The following is a 20198-nucleotide window of genomic DNA, read 5'->3' as shown; positions in this document are numbered from 1 at the left end:
GCTGAAAACATGAATATCCTTGTTCAGAAAACTCACAAAAGGGCTTTTTGATAAGGCCCTATGTTGACACAAAAAATTAGTTTTGGATATGGACTGGAAATATCTATTTTGACAATACATCCTTTCATCTACCACCAACCCTCTCTACACACAAACACACATATATAAATTCACATCTATTATGTGTAACTTTGCTCCATCCAAACAGCCACAAAGAAGCTGACCCTGATACCAACTGGAACTGGCTGCAGATGATGAAACTATCCTCTCTAGCTTGTCCACATAGCCTGCCCACGTCCACAGAGGAGAGGCCCATAACCAGGGTGTTGTCAACAGCACAGCACCTTCAGAACTACAGGGGATACAGGACATTGTCATGAATTGAGGGAAGAGAAAATGTGTAACTACATTAACCCAGGGTAAAAAGATATGATTCTTATCTTCTCCTGTGACACACACATATACACATACACACACACACACACACACACAAGCACACACCCACTCAAACTCTTAACAGACCACCTTATAATGAAAGAAATGCTGAGTTCACCATAGGCTGTGCTTTGAGCTAGCTCTCTAGGACCTTTTGACAGGCTTGTGTTAACAGTTTTGGAATAAAGAACGTGACTTTTCTTCCAGTAAGTTTCACCTCAGGGGCCAGGGAGGGCTACCCCAGTACATATGATTAAGTTTAATAACTTTCAAACTTAAAATTATCAAGGGTTACAGCACCATTCTCCTCCCCCACAGCCCAAAAGCAATTTGACTCCTTGACAAAGTTGCCCGTCTCTTCTTGGGCAACTTTTAAAATGAAGGTGTGTTAGTCTGTTCTTGCATTGCTGTAAAAAAATACACGGGAGCCACCAAAGCTTACAGCTTGCACCCTGTGAAGTGGTGGGCCACGCTGCACATGGGCTTCTTTGAGCCAAGGCTGGAGACAGAGTGGCATAGAGGCAGGGAACAGTGTCCTGAGGCTATGCAGGTCAGCAAGGCCCTGTCTTCACTTCTGGGTTCCCTCAGAATCAGTCTAATCTCACTTTCAGATCACAGCTATTTGAGTATTGTCAGGCAGCTACCAGATGCTTTCCAAAGCTTTCTTTCTCTAGATTGAATATCTCTGATTGTTTCAACTATCACCCATTATGGTAGGATTTTAGTAACTTAATTATCCTTTTCATCTTTACCAAACACACTTTTGGAGAGCACCAGCATGCTGGGTTTCAGGGACCATGCTTTTAGGGTGTTCCATATAGTTGATCATCATAATAATATTAATTATAACAATAAGAAGCTAATATTTAATGTATACCAACTGCATACAAGGATTGCATTGAATGACTGATGTGCTCTTACTCTCTTACTACCTACAATACCCCTGATGCAGTTTGAGTGCTCCAGAAGCTGATGCTAGGACAGAGTTTGGAGAATGTCTGTCAAGAATCAAAACTTGTAAAAGAAAGGGAAATTTGTGAAAGGAAGCACAATTGCCCTGAGAGAGAAATTGAATTGTGGTGTAGGCCTGACAAGGCCTCAGCCAAACCAGCAGGGGGCTCTGAAGCAATTACATTGCCCAACAAAGTTGTCCCATATGGGACCCAAATGACTGATCCTTTATGAAAACCATAAACACACTGCACCATTACTGGATGCAGATTGCCCAAACGTGGGAATGATCTCAGGTAATGTGACTCTGCATCTCAGGCAGACCTTAAGGGCAAATTGATGGAGGCCGTCTGCTGACTATTGTCTTTACAGCTGGGCAGGTCTTTCCTAGAAGAGGGGTCTTGTCAGTACATCTCCATTTCCACCACAAACCTATAAGGCCAATACTTTTATTTTTCCCATTTTACACATAAGGAAACTGAGATATAGACAGATTAAGTAATTTACAAAGATAATACAGCTTGTAACTTAAAAAATGATGAAAATATCTCTTCTGTAGTTAAAATCAAAGTATGTTAGATTAAATGTACTCGAAAACTGAAAATCTACTTCATTCCCCTACACTTCCAGACAACATGCTATATATTAGAGAAACTGCCAAGAACTGTGAAGGTCTGAGACTTTACCTTACTTGCAAGCTAACAAGCCTGCCCCATTTCGTGGATGTTGTAGAAGACATGATACTCTGGGGTCAGAGAAAAGGACTTGATTACTCACAGCACAGTGGGCAGTATGAGCTTCATGTTCACACCAATCTCCCTTCTCCATCACCACCCTCCTCTTAGTTGTATGCAAGTGATATTAAGGCATCCCAGGTGGATACTGCACCCACAGTGGATTTGTGTCACAGCTGAGGAACCTGGAGCTTAGGAAATTCCATCCTTTAAAGGAGATTGCTAGAATACCTCCTAATCATTTGCCTCAAGGGAAATATTTTTATTATCCTAGCCAGAAGAAAGTCTACCTTCTGTTGTAGGGTAAGACACTACATTTTCCAAGGTTGTTTGCTATACAAACATTTTTGAAAATACAGTCCATAATAAAAATTGATGCAATATGTGCAGAAATGCCAAGAAAATTGTCTCCCAAAAGATACAAAGAGAAAAATGACATAATCTCTGCCTTACATCAATCTAGAGAAGGTAATAATAAAATCAAAATGTAACTATAAAACACTATATAGATTTTTATAGGTGGGTAAAAGACCACGAAGCTACAGGAACAGATAGAGGAAGAAACCAATAGCTGGTTAAGGCTAGGGAAGCCTTCATATAGTAGGTGATGTTTGAGTGTTTACTGTTTTCTAGAATTTAATCAGTTCCTAGTAACATTTGAATAAAATAGGAAAGATGATATGGTTTGGCTGTGTCCCCACCCAAATCTCATCTTGAATTCCCACATGTTGTGGGAGGAACCTGGTAGGAGGTAATTAAATCATGGGGGCAAGTCTTTCCCATTCTGTTCTCATGATAGTGAATAAGTCTCTGAGATCTGATTATTTTAAAAAGAGGCATTCCCCTGCACAAGCTCTCTCATTTTTTGCCTGCCATTATCCACATAAGATGTGACTTGCTCCTCCTTGCCTTCCACCATGATTGTGAGGCTTCCCCAGCCACGTAGAACTCTAAGTCCAATTAAACCTCTTTCTTCTGTAAATTGCTCAGTCTCAGGTATGTCTTTATGAGCAGTGTGAAAATGGACTAATACAGAAAGAAAGATAGATAGGATACCTCATGATCATGAAATTCACCAGCATACAAAGGATATAAACTACTTTTGTAGTAAAAATGTGGGTCCTAAAGATTTTAAGCTTTAGGCAGAATGATGGTGACGGAAACATGTGCAAAACGGCCTTAAAAAATCTAATAACCTTTCCTTCATTGCTTTCATAGGAAATAACAGTGCCCAGTAACCAGAATATCTATACATTATATTTGATATTCAAATTAATATATTCGAAACATTATTGCATTTCAGAATATAGATGAATAGTTATAAATATACAGCATGAAATATGCATTTTATCCAATCTGCTGCTTTATCTAGCAGAAGGTCATTAAGGATTATTTGTAAATTTAGAACTGTGTTACATTTGCTCCACTCAATCATGTTTCATAAAAATCTGTGCTTTGTCTTATGTTCTTCTTATATTCTATTCTCCAGAAGAGAGGTGACCCTTAGAGTAACATCTCTGACTCCTTGAGTTTAAACCTTGGACATTTCTGAAAGCTTTGGGTAAAGGTACTGCTGGTTAGACTAGAGAGGGATCAGCTAAATTGATAATATGCAGTGAGATATAAGGAATTAAGGAAAAGAAAGAAAAAAGAGAGAGTAAAATCAGAGTTGAAGTCCAAAATCTTCTCTGCAACATTTTTGAACCCCAACAAACTTCTAATGAAGACAGACTTCTAATATAGAGACTTAAAAATCCTATCTGCACAAAAGTAATTACTCTTTTCTTTTGCACACTGAGGATGAAACAATTCCCTCTCCATATTGCACATACTTTACAAGGTGCATAAAAAGAAAAGCATCTTCATCTGTCTGACAATGGCATCTATTCTATATACCACAAAGCTAGTCCATAGCTTTATCTTTCCATCCTTTCCTTACCTTATGTTCTTCTCATTCCCTTCAATGTCAAAACCTCAACTTTATGGAGAGAACAGAGGCCATTGGGCATGAGCTCAATTCAACTGCAGAAATGTTTATTCATGCCTACCACATGCAGTGCCACACTGAGTGGTGGCAATTCAAAGACACCTAAGACATAGTCTCACCTTTCAAGATGCTTGCCTTTCCATCTTCGCCCTTCCTTCCATCTACGTATTTCTCTCCTCCACATTCTTCTTTTCTCTTTCTTTCAGTATGAGCTTGCCTGAGACTAATCCTTCCAGACAGAACTCTTGATTGCATCCTTCCTTTACTTTTCGTGTTCCTTGCTTATCATTCCACTTAATTTCACCTCTATTATTAACATCTTTTTAGTGGCTCTATCTTCTTAATATATAAATTATACTAAAATTTTTACCCTTAGTTTTTAAAACATGCAGGCATTGATCCCTGTGTAATTACCATATTACCCCCTCTCTCTCTCTTCACAACTGAGCCTCTAGAATTGTCTTTGTTCATTGTCTACTTCTCCACCTCCCATTCACTTCACAAAGCAATTCAGTTTGGGTTCTACATCCACCTTTCATTGGATGTCACTGTCATATGCTCAGTGCCAATCCTCCAGATGCCCTTCGGTTTACACAAAGGACAATTATAGTCTCCCCTCCTGTATTGGGAAATTTTTGCATTGTTGTAAAGAAATACTTAAGGCTGGGAAATTTATAAAGAAAAGAGGTTTAATTGGATTATAGTTCTGCAGGCTTTACAGAAGCATGGTGCTGACATCTGCTCAGTTTCTGGGAAGGCCTCAGGAAGCTTGCAATCATATCAGAAAGCAAAGGGGAAGCAGGCATGTCAGATGGTGAAAGCAAGAGCAAGAGAGAGAGAGTTGTGGGGAGGTGCTGCATACTTTTAAAATCTTGCAAGACCTTACTTTCATGAAGACAGCACCAGAACATGAGGGATCCATCCCCGTGACCAAAAATACCCACAACCCAGCCCACCTTCAGCATTGTGGATCACAATTCAAGATGAGATTTGGGAAGGGACAAATATCCAAACTATATTATTCTACCCCTGGCCCTTCCCAAATTTCATGTCCTTCTCACATTGTAAAATACAGTCTTGCCTTCCCAACAGTCTCCTAAAGTCTTGATTCATTCCAACATTAACTCAAAAGTCCAAAGTCTCATCTGAGACAAGGCAAGGCCCTTCAGAACAAGTTTTTTACTTCAAGGATACAATGGAGATATAGGAATTGAGTAAAAGGGAGAAATTGCCCAAAGGAAAGGGGCTACAGGCCCTATGCAAGTTCAAAACCCAGCAGAGCAGTCATTAAATCTTAAAGCTCCAAAGTAATCTCCTTTAACTCCATGTTCCACATCCGGGGCACACTGATGCTAGGGGTGGGCACCCAAGGCCTTGGGTAGCTCTGTTTTTATGGTTTTGCAGGGTAAAATTTCCAAGGCTGCTCTCACAGGATGTTGAGCGCCTGAGGCTTTTCCAGGAGCAAAGTGCAAGCTCCTGGTGGATCTACCATTCTCAGATCTGAAGGATAGTGGTCCTTTTCTCACCACTCCACTAGGCAGTACCCCACACACAGTGGGAAATCTGTGTAGGGCCTCCAATCCCACATTTCCCCTCTGTCCCATCCTAGTAGAGATTCTTTTTGAGGACTCCACTCCTTCAGTAGGCTCTTGTCTGGGCACCTAGGCTTTCTCATACCCCTCTGAAATGTAGGAAGAGGCTGCCAAGCCTCTTTTACTCTTGCATTTTGTGTGCCTGCAGGCTTAACACAACATGGAAGCTGCCAAGACTTATGGCTTGCACTCTCCAAAATGGAAGCTTGAGCTATACCTTGGCTCATTTGAGACACAGCTGGAGCTGGAGCAGCCTGGATGCAAAAAGCAGTGTCCTGAGGTTGTGCAGAGCAGCATGATCTGACCCATGAAACCATTTAGTCCTCCTAGGCCACTAGGCCTGTGATAGGAGGGGCTGCCATGAAGATCCCAAAGATATCTTTGAGGCCTTTTCCCATCATTGTCTTGGATATTAGCATTTTACTCCCTTTTAGTTATGTAAATATCTCTAGCAAGTGGTTGCTTCACAGCCTGCTTGAATTCCTCTCCCAGAAAAAGCTTTTTTTTCCTTTGCTATGTGGCAACGGTGTAAATTTTCCAATCTTTTACATTCTGCTTCCTTTTTAAATATAAATTCAAAATTCAAGTCATTTCTTTATTCCCACATCTGAATTAGGCTGTTAGAAGCAGCCAGGCCATACCTTGAATCCTTTGCTGCTTCAAAATTTCTTCCACCAGATACCCTAAATCATTCACTCTGAAGTTCAAACTTCCACAGAGCCTTAGGCCATGGACACAATGTAGCCTAGTTTGTTGCTAAGGTATGATACATGTGACCTTTGCTCCAGTTCTCAATAAGTTCCTTATTTCCATCTGAGACCTCATCAGGCTGGCCTTCACTGTCCATATCACTATTAACATTTCAGTCACAACCATTTAACTGGTCTCTAAGAAGTACCAAACTTTCCCCATCTTGCTGTCTTCTTCTGTGTTGGGGAAACCAGCCCCACACCACCCGGCAGGTTCCCCAAGTCCGGCAGAGACAAAGGAGTTAGAAAGAGACAGAATAAGTGTTTAAAAGGCTGGTCCAGGGGACTGGAGTGTCAGAGGCTTGCTCACGGCCCAGAGCTCTTTGGCTTTGCCTAATTTATTGGTTTACAAGCTCTTTGTTCTTAGGGCAGATGGGAGGGGTAGGAAGGGATGAGGAAAAGGATTAATCAGTGAAGGAGAACTTATGAGTCATTCAACAAGATGTATAGCAGTAGTGGTTTCTGTGAATTTCCTTGAGCAAAGGCATGTGCCTAAACTACTTAATATCTTTAACTTATCAAGACTGAAATGGATAGGAGTAGGTTTCAGATGGAGCCAAGATGTTTGATTATACTCCACTGCTTCAAGGGAGTGTTATCTCCCTGAGCAACCTGTGGAATGCTGCTGAGCAGTTATGATCTCGGGGCAGAAAGACATGAAGGCAATAAGGAGAGCTTTCTCCTCAGAGGCCACCCATGGCTCCCCTCTCACACAGGGGAGACCAACTCATCTGGCACCCCAGAAACTCTCTTTCCCACATTCTGAGCCCTCCAAGCTCTTCCAACCTCTGCCAGTTACCCAGTTCCAAAGTCACTTCCAAATTTTCAGGTATCTTTATAGCAATGTCCCACCCCACAGTACCAATTTTTTGGTATTATGTTGTTTTTGCATTGCTATAAAAAATTCCTGAGATTGGGTAATTTATAAAGAAAAGAGGTCTAGTTGGTGCATAGTTCTGCAGGCTTTACAGAAAGCATGATGCTGACATTGGCTTGGCTTCTTGGGAGGCCTCAGGAAGCTTATAATCACAGTAGAATGTGATGGGGGAGCAGACACATTATATGATGAAAGTAGGAGCAAGAGAGAGAGAGTGGTGGGGGAAGGTACCCACACTTTTAAATGACCAAATCTCACAAGAATTCACCCAATATCATGAGGACAGCACTAAGTCATGAGGAATCCACCCCTATGACCCAAACACCTCCCACTGGGCCCCACCTCCAGTCTTGGGGATTATAATTCAACATGAGATTTGGGTGGGGACAAGTATTCAAACTATATCACTTTTTCACATAGCTAGTAAGTGAGTGACTGGAAATCTGAACCCAGCCAGGCAGCTCGAGAGTCTATACTCTTAACTGCTACATTATACTATATTTCCAATTGGAGATGCCATCTTTGGCATCACATCTCTCATAACACTTATCCAGGCAGTGGGATTTGTCTAGAGCTAGGCTTACTCAGAACCCTTCCAGGCCAGGCGTGGTGTCTCATGCCTGTAATCCCAGCACTTTGGGAGGCCGAGGCGGGTGGATCACGAGGTCAGGAGATCAAGACCATCCTGGGTAACACAGTGAAACCCCGTCTCTACTAAAAAATTGAAAAAATTAGCCAGGCATGGTGGCGGGCACCTGTAGTCCCAGCTACTCAGGAGGCTGAGGCAGGAGAATGGCGTGAACCCGGGAGGCGGAGCTTGCAGTGAGCTTAGATCGCACCACTGCACTCCAGCCTGAGGAACAGAGCAAGACTCTGTCTCAAAAAAAAAAAAAAAAGAACCCTTCCAGAGATTATTTTTTTTAACTGAGATGAGAAAAAAAAAAGTGAAATAGAGAAAGCCTCAGTTACTCTATAATGGAGAAGCTGTAAGATTTTAAGCCAAGAGATATTAATTACCCTGTCTTTCACTGAACTGCTGATTTATAACAGGAGAAAATGAAGCCAACATGCAGGAAGGAAACTTAAGAAACACAGAGTCCAGAAGTCTTCTCTTTTCTGGTGCAGTTGTATAGAAAACCAGCTTCTATCTTTGCTCTTAGTGGACTACCTGGTCCATATATTTGTCTCTTAATCAAAGCTGGTTTGAGTCAGATTTGTTACTTGCAAACAAACAAACAAACAAACAAACACAGTCCTGTTAATATTGATCTTTTCTTCCTTCACCTGCATTCAGCATTTGATATTTTGGACATTACCCTCCTGTGTGAAATTTTCTCAATCTTGTCTCTCAAACCACTCCCATCTTCCTGGATGCTTTCTATTCTCCTTCACTGGTCCTGTAAGTGGCAGCAACGCTTAAGTCTTCATTTAATCCTTTACCTTTACCTTTGCCTGATCCTTGTGTCCCATGTATAAGAAGTCAACTACAGCTTATGTGCTTAAATGATAATCATTCCTGAATTTATGTTTATAATCCTAATTGTTCTATCCTAGGTTCTCAAAGACACCTTAAACCCACACATCCAAACTGACCTCAAAAAGTGTACCTTGACCCCTCCTTCACCCCATTCAAAAATTAATTCAAACTGGAACCTTGACCTAAATGTAAAACCTAAAACTATAAAGTTTTAAAATAAAACATAAGAGAATATCCTCAAGATCTTAAGAGGTGAGATTTTTTGATGACACAGAAATCAATAATTATTTAGAAAACTGAAAAATTGGGCCAGGCGCAGTGGCTCATGCCTGTAATCCCAGCACTTTGGGAGGCTGAAGCAGGCAGATCACGAGGTCAGGAGTTTGAGACCAATCTGGCCAACATGGTGAAACCCTGTCTATACTGAAAATACAAAAATTAGCCGGGCATGGTGGCATGTGCCTTTAATCCCAGCTACTCGGGAGGCTGAGGCAGGAGAACTGCTTAAACCCAGGAGGTGGAGGTTGCAGTGAGCCAAGATCATGCCACTGCACCCCAGCCTGGGTGAGAGAGCAAGACTCCATCTCGAATTAATAAAAATTTCCTCCATACACTGACAGAAAATATTCACAAAACATACATCTGACAAAGACATATACAATATAGAAAGAATTTATATAACTCAATAATGAAAAGATAAAAACCCAATAAATGATTCAAAAACTTAAACAGGCATTTTTCAAAGGAAGATATACAAATACCATTAAGCACATGCAAAAGCACTTAATATCATTAGTCATCAGAGGCAAAATTAAACCTCAGTAAGAAAGCACTACACATCCTCTAGAATGAATAACATAAGAGATGGACCACATTAAATGTAAGCAAAGATGTGGAGTGCCTGGAACTCACATATATTGCTGGTGGAATGTAAAATAATACAACCACTTTGGAAAACTACTTGAAAGTGTCTTAAAAAGTTGAATATGCATCTGTTTAACAGTAATTCTACTTCTAGGTATTTACCAAAGAGAAACAAAAATATATTTTCCATACAAAGACCAATATACAAATATTCATAGCTGCTTTATTTGTAATAGCCCCAAACTGAAAAAAAAAATCAACAGGTGAATGGATCACTAATTTGTGGCATATCCATCTAAATGGAATACTGCTCAGCAATAGAAAGAAAGGAACTACTGACATGACAAAATGGATTGTCATCACAAATATTATGCTCGAAAGAATAGACACTGGACACAAAGCAGTACATACTGAATAATTCCTTTTATATGAAATTTTAGAAAAGGCAAAACTGATCTTAGGTGAGGAATATCAGTAGAGGTTGCCATGGTTGGAGGCATAGGACTGGGAAGGGGCACAGGGAACCTGTCTGAGGAGATGGAAATGCCTTAAATCTTGGTTGTGGTGGTGGTTCACAGGTATACATAAATTTGTCAATACTTATTGAACTGCTCATTTAAAGTGGATGTGCTTTTTGTATCTAAATTACGCCTCAATAAAGTTGATTTAAAGAAAATGCCATAGAGTTTAGAAAGAAATAGCACCCTATGATATGAACTAATTTCATCCTTCCCACATGACTTGTCATTGGCATAAGAGGACCAAAGGCCTGGAAGTTTCAGTGGGAGTGAGATCAAAAAAGAAAGCATAGGAAAGTGTACAGTTTGCTTATGACAGTCTCTACCCTCCTCTGCCCCTCCTGCTTTGTTCTACCTCAACCCTCAGCTTCTTCTACAGGGCTCCAGTGTCCCATTATTGGTTCTTAGATGGCTGTCAATCAATCCTGCCCTGAGCAGAGGCATGGGCAGGAGTCAAAATCCTACAGCTAGGATTGGTGCACTTCAATAGACATATATAAACTGTATATTTAAAAGAGCTGTTAGAACTGTAACAGTGATAATTGAGGTAGGGTAACAGCGATAAATGAGTAGGGGTTCAGATGAAACAAGAATCATAGAATATTGACAATTGCTGAATCTGAATGATGGACAGATGAAGGCTAATTATACAATTTGCTTATTTGGTTTATGCTTAAAATTTTCTATTTAAAAAGGTTTAAAAAATAAGTATGCTAACCAGAATACTGTTTGTATACTTTAGATCCTTTTTATCTTTTTGTTGCTGACTGCAGTCATATTTAATGTAAATAAATAAAATTTTTTCCCATAGCTACACAGCTCACCTATTGTGGCCAATGCCAATTCTGGGTGTAAAAGAAAATCCTTGAGGAAGCAGCAGGGTAAATCAACACATATCTAATTATATTTTTCCCTTATTTAAAATCCTTTGGTGTCTTTAAAGAAGTTCAAACTCTTTGAAATGGCATTCATTACTTCTTATAATTTCCCACCTCACCTCACTTATCTTCAGATTTCTCACTCAATATTTGTTCATGTCCTTTAGGATGGGCTTTTTGAACTGCCTTCACCTCAAAGGATTTGCCATGAATGCTTACACCTTCTTTTTTTTTTAATTCTTCTTCTTCTTCTTTTTTATTGAGACAGAGTCTCACTCTTTTCGCCCAGGCTGGAGTCCAATGGCACAATCTTGGCTCACTGCAACCTCCCCCTACCGGGTTTAAGTGATTCTCCTGCCTCAGCCTCCAGAGCAGTTGGGATTAGGGGCACCTGCCACCATACTCGCTAATTTATTTATTTATTTATTTATTTATTTATTTATTTATTTATTTATTTATTTTTTTAGTAGAGACAGGGTTTCACCATGTGGGCCAGGTTGGTCTCCAACTCCTGACCTCAGGTGATCTGCCTGCCTTGGCCTCCCAAAGTGCTGGGATTACAGGTGTGAGCCACCACACTCAGCCACTTATACCTTCTTGACCTTAACATACACTAGTCTCTGCCTGGAAAGACATCCCCATACCCCCAGGTCTTCTGGCTAATTCTCATTTATTCTGAGATGCTACAGAATGTGTATTGTCTTGCCAAGCTTCGCATCTCACATCCATTGCACTTGTCTGTTACTCATCTGCCTTCTTCACTTGACTGTGAGCATCTTGAAGAATGGGACTGTGCTGTTACCTTTTTATTCTCAGCACCAGCCCAATCACTGCAACTTAATAAATGTTAAGATTTTTATTAATCAATGAATAAATGTAGAAAAAATGCTAAAGCCATAAACATATCAAACAGAAAAATGAAGGCATATCATATCTAACAAGATTAGGAAGCATGAGAAAAACTTTTTTCAATGACTTACTTGAATATATTTTAAAAATCTTATAGACCCTAATAAGATCCTGCTTTAGCGAACACAGCAGTAATTGAAACAGACGACGCTCCTGACGTTCATACAGATTACATTCTTTTCGAGGTACACAGACAATTAACAAATATAGAATATAGTGTCAAGTAGTGATAAGCATTATGAAAAAAATAAAGCAAGATCAGGGTTGGCGGGGGATTATGACTACATAAAAAAGCAATTTAAAACTTCTCTAGGGAGGTGACATTTGAGCAGAGACCTGAATGAAGAAATGCATAGAGCCAGTTGACGATCAGGAGGAAAAGCAAAGCAGAAGGAGCCAAAAGTGAAAAGGCCCAGAATCAGGAATTTGGGGTACAAGGAATTCTGGTGCCAAAACTGAACATTCTATCTCCAGAAATATGTATTTTAGGGGGGGGCAGTCTTAAAGGCTTTTCTTTTTCACATTTTTCTATTAAAAGTCAACCACCATTAGCAGCAGTGACAGTTTAAGTAAGAATTAACAAGCTGCAGAGAATGAAACAAGGGTAAGAAGGCGAAGTGGATTGCTGAGCAGGTCCCCAAAAGGGAAGGCCAAAGCGCACTAAGCCTTGCCCATGTCACTGCTGTCCCTACACTGGTTCTGGGTAGAGACAGTGATGTGTTGAGATGACCTATGTAAAGGTGAGATGGGAAGAAGGTGGTATTACTGCCTGCTTCCTCTCCTCCCAATTGCACACACCCTTTCTCTTCCCACTTCATCCAATTAGAAAGCATCCTTTAAACAACATGAGGGACAGTAAAAACAAGGATTGGTAACCTCTGGGATGGTATTAGTCGCTGGAAAGAAAATTGAAAAATCAATTCTGTTTGACTTGGAGCAAATCATCTTGCTATGGCAAGATAGGAAAAATATGGTCTTTAGGAGTCCAAGTGGCTGTTGAGTTCATAGCAGTGACTTTGCCACTGATACCACTTAGCAGTGGCAGTAAGTAACAGGATGTTCAATAATACAGGCTCAGGAGGCTAGGATCACTGATCCTGTGAAGTAAGAAAATGTACAGCTCTTTCAGACACTTGGAAAAATCAACAGAGCCACAAGAGCCAGATAAAGAAGATGACAGCTCTGCCCAACAGCAGAGACATAGGAACATTAGCCAGGAAAATGCATCACAGAAGAAAAGTGGCTTCCTGTGAATGCAGGTGCAATGATCAAATTAAGCTTCCTACTTTATGTGTTAAGAGAAACATAGCTCAGCATCTAGAGTCCCACCACATACAAAGCATCTGAGAATGCCCAAAGTGTGTTCTAACTTATTTCATTTCATCCTTACAAGCAGTTACTCAGGTTGTCACTCATACTTTGCAGATAAGGAAACTGAGGCTCAAAGTCATATTAACAAGTGGTGCAGCAAAAGCAGACACCTTGGTCCTCTGGTTTCCAGTCTCAGGTGGCCCTCACCCAGGATGTGATTCCAGCAGGTGGAGAACTCTCCACCTTCTCAGTTCCTCTCTCTTCTAAACAGCTCACCCTCAGCCTTGTTTCTTTCATCCTCTTCTGCTTTATAAGTACCCTAGCAGCAGGGGGTTTGATGAGCTTGGGCAGTAGGATTAGACCGTCTGGGTTTAAATCCTAGTGCTACAAATTACTAACCGTGTGACATTAACCAAATTGTTTAACCCTGCTGTCTTTCTGCTTCCTCTTCTGTAAAATGAGAATTATAATAGTACCTCATAGTGCTTAAAGCAGTGCCTGTCCCATAGGAGAGCCCAGTAAAGTTTGCTATTGAAATTATATTCCTTTCCCCATCACACTTCACAAACCCTTGTTGACTGTCCCCTCTGCTTGCCAGTTCCTCCTTTTCCTGCTTACTTTTTCTGCCCCAACCTTTTCCTCCAACACCCCACCCCACCCCACTCACACACACGCACACCTTGCCCTCAGAAACAACTTGCTCTCTTTTTTCTCCCTTTCCATGACTTCTGTGTTCTGCCTGCCAGCTATACCTGCTTGCACAGCCTCCACTATCAGTCTCTAGGATGGGCCCAGCATTCCTGCACCTGCCCCTGCTGCCCTTGAAGCTGTGTGGACTGGTTGAGGCCCTGAAACTTCTTGGGGACAGATAGTTCAAAAACACATTCTGTGAAACTGCTCCAGAATGGAGAGCAGAAGGGCTTTGCTGAAAGATTGCAGAAATCAGAGAACACGGAGATTTATAGCAGGTGCTGCTTTCTTAGAGGCCGAGGACCCGGGAATGCCTCAGGAATAACAATGAGCTCTCTCCTAAGCTCCTATCCTTACACGATTGCTTGGATGCAGGTGAAATCTATGCCAGCTGGTGTTTCAGGCTAATTAAAAGCATGTTCACCTGCCTTATCCATATATACTCTGCCCCTTCCTACTAACCCAGGCCAGAAAAATAGTTTTCCCTTGAATCAGTCCTCTCTTCATCAGAATAGATCTCCATGCCCCATCCCCACCCCCGCCCCCCACCACACACACACACATACTCTTCCCTGACTGTCTTCAGGGCCCAGACATTCTGTATAGAAGAACCATGCCACTGATGACCCAGATTGTGGAAGGTGACGAGTCAGTCATACCCAAATTGACTTTGAAAATGCCTTGATTCAACTAACTATCTAAGAAAATAACCCAATTCTTTTCTAAAAGATAAAACATCTAAAAAGTAAAACTATCTCACATTTCTCTCTCTCTCTCTGTATATATATATACACACATATATATACACACACGTGTATGTGTTTGTGTGTGTGTGCGTGTGTGTGTAGTATGAAGACTTTTAAAGTACAAGTCCTTGAAATTTACTCAGCTCCCTTTGCATCTTACAGCATGGATTATTGCAAAAATCAAGATGCAGACAAAATGGCAAATCTGAGAAGAGATGGACAGGCAAAATGGAGCACAACGGAGTCACTACTGCTACGTCAGTGTGGAGTCGCACCTTGAGCCATAGTGTTACTTAACCATGTTCCTTGATGGCACACAGAATGTTATACTGTAATATAGATGTAAATATTAATATAATATAGAAGCATATAGTATATATATCATACTGTAATATAGAAATAAATATTATACTTCTGGAATTCTGGAAATAGTTCTGTCTGTGATGTCATCGGAAAAAAAAACTTGAGGGCTGAGCTATTTGTCCTCAGTGCCTAGGTTCTGTGGAACCCAGCACAGTGACTTTCATCCCTGTGAAACCTCAACAAAACACTAGCGAAGGGTGGTCATTCCCAGTTATATAAAGATCTTTGATGATGATAGGTACACCGGGGTTTCCAACTCAAATAGTGCACAAGTGAGGAAATAATAATAAATATAAGTAAAGTGGGCCAGGTAGAACTACAACAAGCTGGAGTACTCACAGCCCTTATAAGGGCAGAGTCGCTATCTGTACCAGCTGATTGTTGCTATGTGGAAATGCAAGCCTAAAGCGCCAAATACTCTGTTTTTTCCAAAAGAAGTGGGAAATAGCCTGTAAGTGTCAAAACTAATTCAACTTTTAAAAGATCTCCAGGCAGCTCAAACAAAACCTATCTACAGATCCCCAGTTTGCAACCTCCTACCATAAAAGGTCCATGAGCTTGGTTTAATGCAGGGTGAAGTTACTTATCACCTTGGCATCTCTATTTGTCTATCCAAATAATAGAGATAACTATAATTCCTTTCTCATAGCATTGTTTGAGAAATAAAATGTGTTACTACATGGTAAGCATTTGCACTGTCTCATTTTATGCATTTTTGTTATTAAAAATTATATTTTATGTATTTGCCTAGATCCATCTGAATGCAATATGATTGAATATGTAGTCTATAAGTCATAATTCCCATGTTTGATTGCATAATCTCAATAAAGAACCTCACCAAATCCTTCAAGCTATATTATACATGATACATCCTATCACATTCGCAACTTGTGACTATAGAAACTGAGGTAGAGAGAAGTCAATTTGTTGTCCAGGTTTGCAAAGAGTCTCTGGCAATATAGGAAGTGTCTCCTTGTCTCAGTCACAAGTATCCTGTAAACTGGAATGGCCTCTACCATTGACTTTCATGATCACTAAGTTTTCCTTGTGGTTCTCCACGCTTTGACCATATCAAAAAAAAACAAGGTTTATAAAGACATGGATAAACTTTAGCCTCTAAAAAGGCTTTAGTTGTGGGTAGACTATCTATTTGTATTCGGGTTTCTGTCTTTCAAGCTAATTTGTAGAGCTTCACTAAGGAATCCCACTAAGCATCACTTAAGAACACATTTTCAAACTGAATCTGACAAAAGTAAACATCCTTGAAAAATAGGAGCACAGGTATTCCAATATAATAGCCCCTTGTTTCTCAAAGTGTGGTCCTGGGGCAGCAACAGCAGCATTAGCTGGGTGCTTATTAGACATGCAGAATCTTAGGCCTCACCCCAGACCTACCGAATTAGAATCTTCACTCCCAGGTGATTTATGTGTGCATTAAATTTGAATAACACTACTAGCCAACTAATCTCTATAATCTCCTGCAGCTTGTGTGTGACCAAGGAAAGGAATAGCAAAAAAGGTTCACTTTACATTTTACAGGGAAGGCTTTTACTATTTGTTAACTCACTTGAGGGACATAAACTGTCAAAAGCCAGCCCTCAGCATCTGTTTAATTATACACCTCCAATGAGTCTGAAAATTATGTAAGTTTGTCTTGGACCCAGGCCCTGTTTGCTGGGAGTTGCTTTCAGCTGAGACTGACCAGTGCATTATTGTCAGTCAACATGGCCGCTGAGACCTGCTGCCCATTTGTCCAAGGACAGCCAGTGAGAATATCCCTGTGTTGGTGTGGCCACAGAATCAGAGAAAGGTGCTAAGTCCGATAGACCAGTAAATGTCTTATCATTGGCAGCCTTGCTCATTCCCAATGGATGACAGAAGCAAGTAGGTACGCCATGCTTTTGCAAAAATGAGGAAAGGTAGGAAAGAAAGGAGAGAGGATGAGAAGAAGGGAGGAAGGAAATAAAAACATTATCAGGATATTTCTTTGCAACTCCCATTTCCATCCTTCTTTTGTTCTAGCTATTGAAAAGCCAGTGCTTCTACAAGTCACCCTGGGCTAATGATAGAGCAAGAAAGAGGTATTCTGTCAATGACTCTACTAGAGGTAGGTGAGGGGAGACACAGGATTTGATAATCTGTAGACCCACTTCACAGGTGGGAAAACTCTGCCAAGCTTATTCCTTCACCTTGGTTAGACCCAAGGCAGACAAGCTCTGTTCCTTTAGTGAGGCTATCCACTTCTAGCCTTGTGTTCAGGCAAGGAAAGGGTGGGTGTGGGTTCATAGTTTGGCTTCCACAACCTGATCCATCCTGCCCTGTCCTGTCCAGTTGGCTGTGTATCAGTCAACACTCAGTAGGCAGGATAGCATGCGACCACCTATCGGCATAGCTCAGTGGCTCTCACTGTAAGCAATATGCTAAAATCCACCTTCTAGAAGAGAGAGGTTTATAAAATCAGCTCATCTATGTTTTAAAAATTGTCTTAAATTTTGCTCTAAATTTTCTGATTTTGTAGGTAATACAGATATTCCTGAAAAACAGTATGTGTGTGTACGTGCACTACTTGTTTAAAGAAATCTCTTAGAGAAGAATTGGCAGAAAGGCAGTTTACTGGGAACTTATCCAGCCACGATGGGTCTGGGCTAAAGTACATTGGTTTCATTCTTCAAGTTCTTCAGGTGTCACAGCACTCAACAAACAAATATTTTAAAATACCTTCTATGTGTTTAGCATTGTGCTAATTAACCTAAACCAAGTTGCTCATAATGATAGGAAGAATTAATTAGTCATGTTAATATTATGTTATTATGTGATCAGTATAGGAGTATTTGTGTAACACTAGTTCAGTATGGGACACATGCAAACATATTAAAAACTAAAAACATGTTCTAGCTGTGAGTAATTTTTCTTTTAATAATTGAGCTTTCAGAAACATTTCCACAGAAGTCATTGTCTCTATACCATAAGTTATTTAAATTGAAGAAAAGCTATTTGTCAGCTCAACAGGACCTCAGAATGCATTACTCTTTTGCAGGAAAGCCAAGGCTTCCTCTGTTTGGGACTTAAGAGAGCAGAATGTCAAGGTCTCCAGAGAACCTCATGCATGAACCATTGTTTCATCCATCATTTTTTAAAGCAACTATTTTAGGTGATTTCTTATCTGAGCACGAGGAGGGGCGTCATTCACAGACCCCTAAGAAGCAAGCACCAGGAGCAAGGATCCCCCTTTGGCTCTCCCTGGCCAATTATCCCATATCATAGCCCCTTTGGTTTCTCTTTACATAGATCACAATTTAAAACTGTTTTATTTATGTGTCCATTTATTTACTTAGTAACTGCTACCTTCCCCCTCCTCTCTAGCCCTTAGTGAAAGCTCCAGGAAGTCAAGAATCACACCTCTTTTTCCCTTTTTTATCTCCAATGTTTACCTCAGTGTCCAGTCTACAATAAGAAGTCAATAAATAGTTTTGAATTTTAAAAATGATGTCTGTTTTACCAAAGCAAATCAGTGCCAAGGAAAAGGCAAGGCTGTGCCCAGCCTCACTCAGCATTTGTCTTCCTCCTTCTGCTGTCTAGCTTAGTGTTGTGGGGGACACAGGTATTCATCAGAGAGCATTTCCACCTTGTCATGAAACGCTACCTTGTAATCCAGTAGCTATCACTGCAGTTAAAGCTGAGAAGCCAAAAGATTTCAAATAGGAAAACTCTCCAAAATGATATCATTATCAAATGCATTTGCTAAACATGTCTAGTGAGTGGCATGTTGTTTATGGTTTGGGAAGAGCCTGAAAAGAGTAACTCTTGCTTGCTATTATAAAACATCACAGCATTCCCTTTCAGGTGAAGTCTATGTTATCCAACCTGCAAATGACTGGAGCATCAAGGTCAGATTCCAAGGTAAGTCCTAAAACACTTCTCTGGAAAAAAGGAACCTGAGCCTTGTGCACTTGGTGACTCTAGCAGCCAGCTCAGCCCCTGGCATACAGAGCATGCTGAGCAACATGCCTGTTACTGAACAAATTAGCAAGTGTTTTCCTAATTCCTGAATGTATAAATAATTCTTAAATGCCTATGAATGAAAATAACAGGGGGAAGATATAACTTAATACATGCAGCGAAAAACTTTGAATACACGGGATATATAGGAACAAAAATTGAGTCAAAAAGTTTGAGAATCACATCTAAAACTGAATTAGAGGACTTTTAAAATCCCATAAAATTGATGATATATAAAGACATACCAAAAAATGTGAATCTATGTATTCTCACATACTCCTTTGAAGCCTTGTTGTTTTTTTAAATAAACTACTGAGGGTAATTTCTCAAAGTGGACCAGATTTAGCCTATGTTTTCATTCCTAGATTCTAAATGGAAAGAAATGCTTTAGGAATCTATTTTTTTTCCCCACTCTTCCCTGGCCTTGGCTTTCTGGTTCTCTTTAGGCTGGGTTACTCCTATAGCCAAAGAACAAATTTGTCATGCTCTGTATAATAAAGGGTTAAGTACTTCAGATAGTACCAGTGGATTTATTAATGTATTGAATGTAAAAGGCATAAAAAATCTTTAGAAAAGATGTTTAAGTGAAATCCCATTAGTGTGCTAAAAGGAAAATATACTGGATGAACAAAACAATCACTAAGAAAGAAAAGAATAATAATGAATGGTGGTCCCGACTCCCTCATTTACTGGCGGTAAAATGAACTAACATTCCAGAACAATATCTGATTAACTAAGCCACTGAATTGGAGAGGTAACTAGCAGAACCCACTGGTGTGGTATGGCTACTCCATTGTAGAGCTTTTTATTCTCTCTGTGACTTTGAAGGTAGACAAGAAGTTAAATATTACCACATCCTTCAACACATGAGTCTGTGCTAGAATAGTGCAGTTTGAGATTCATCCAGATAGTCTTGAGTTCCTAGGAAAAATTAGCATTTTTACTAATTCCTCTGTGCCTCCATTTCCTTGGCTGTAAATGGAAGTAGCGCTAGTGACTATGTCATAGGAGTGGTGCAAAAATTAAATGTAAAGCTTTAGAAGAGTGTGTGGGATATGGAAGGCATGATATGTGTTTGATATCATGGTGATAATGATGACAACAGTGATGACGATGAT

General features: G+C 40.3%; 1 long non-coding RNA gene across 2 annotated transcripts in view, besides 1 other annotated feature; it reads left to right on the top strand.

Annotated features, from left to right (window-relative positions):
- LOC105370456 (uncharacterized) overlaps positions 1–15138 on the top strand; it is a 36505-nt gene extending 21367 nt beyond the window's left edge. Inside the window, exons 2-3 of one of the 2 annotated variants that reach the window (XR_943760.4) lie at positions 10996–11065; positions 14881–15138. This is a non-coding gene — a long non-coding RNA (uncharacterized LOC105370456). The remainder of the gene's footprint in view (positions 1–10995; positions 11066–14880) is intronic. The other variant, XR_943761.4, reaches the window with a different exon arrangement.
- Positions 13287–13823: an enhancer, noted in NCBI's record as "OCT4-NANOG hESC enhancer chr14:38473631-38474167 (GRCh37/hg19 assembly coordinates)". NCBI's record gives its function as "activates a minimal SCP1, AML or CMV promoter by ChIP-STARR-seq in naive H9 embryonic stem cells {active_cell/tissue: H9 hESC(naive)}" and the evidence as "EXISTENCE:reporter gene assay evidence [ECO:0000049][PMID:30033119]".
- Positions 15139–20198: the final 5060 nt, after the last annotated feature.

Source organism: Homo sapiens, chromosome 14 (assembly GCF_000001405.40).
Source record: "Homo sapiens chromosome 14, GRCh38.p14 Primary Assembly".
NCBI classification, from domain to species: Eukaryota; Metazoa; Chordata; class Mammalia; order Primates; family Hominidae; genus Homo; species Homo sapiens.
This window is presented reverse-complemented; position numbering and strand designations above follow the sequence as displayed.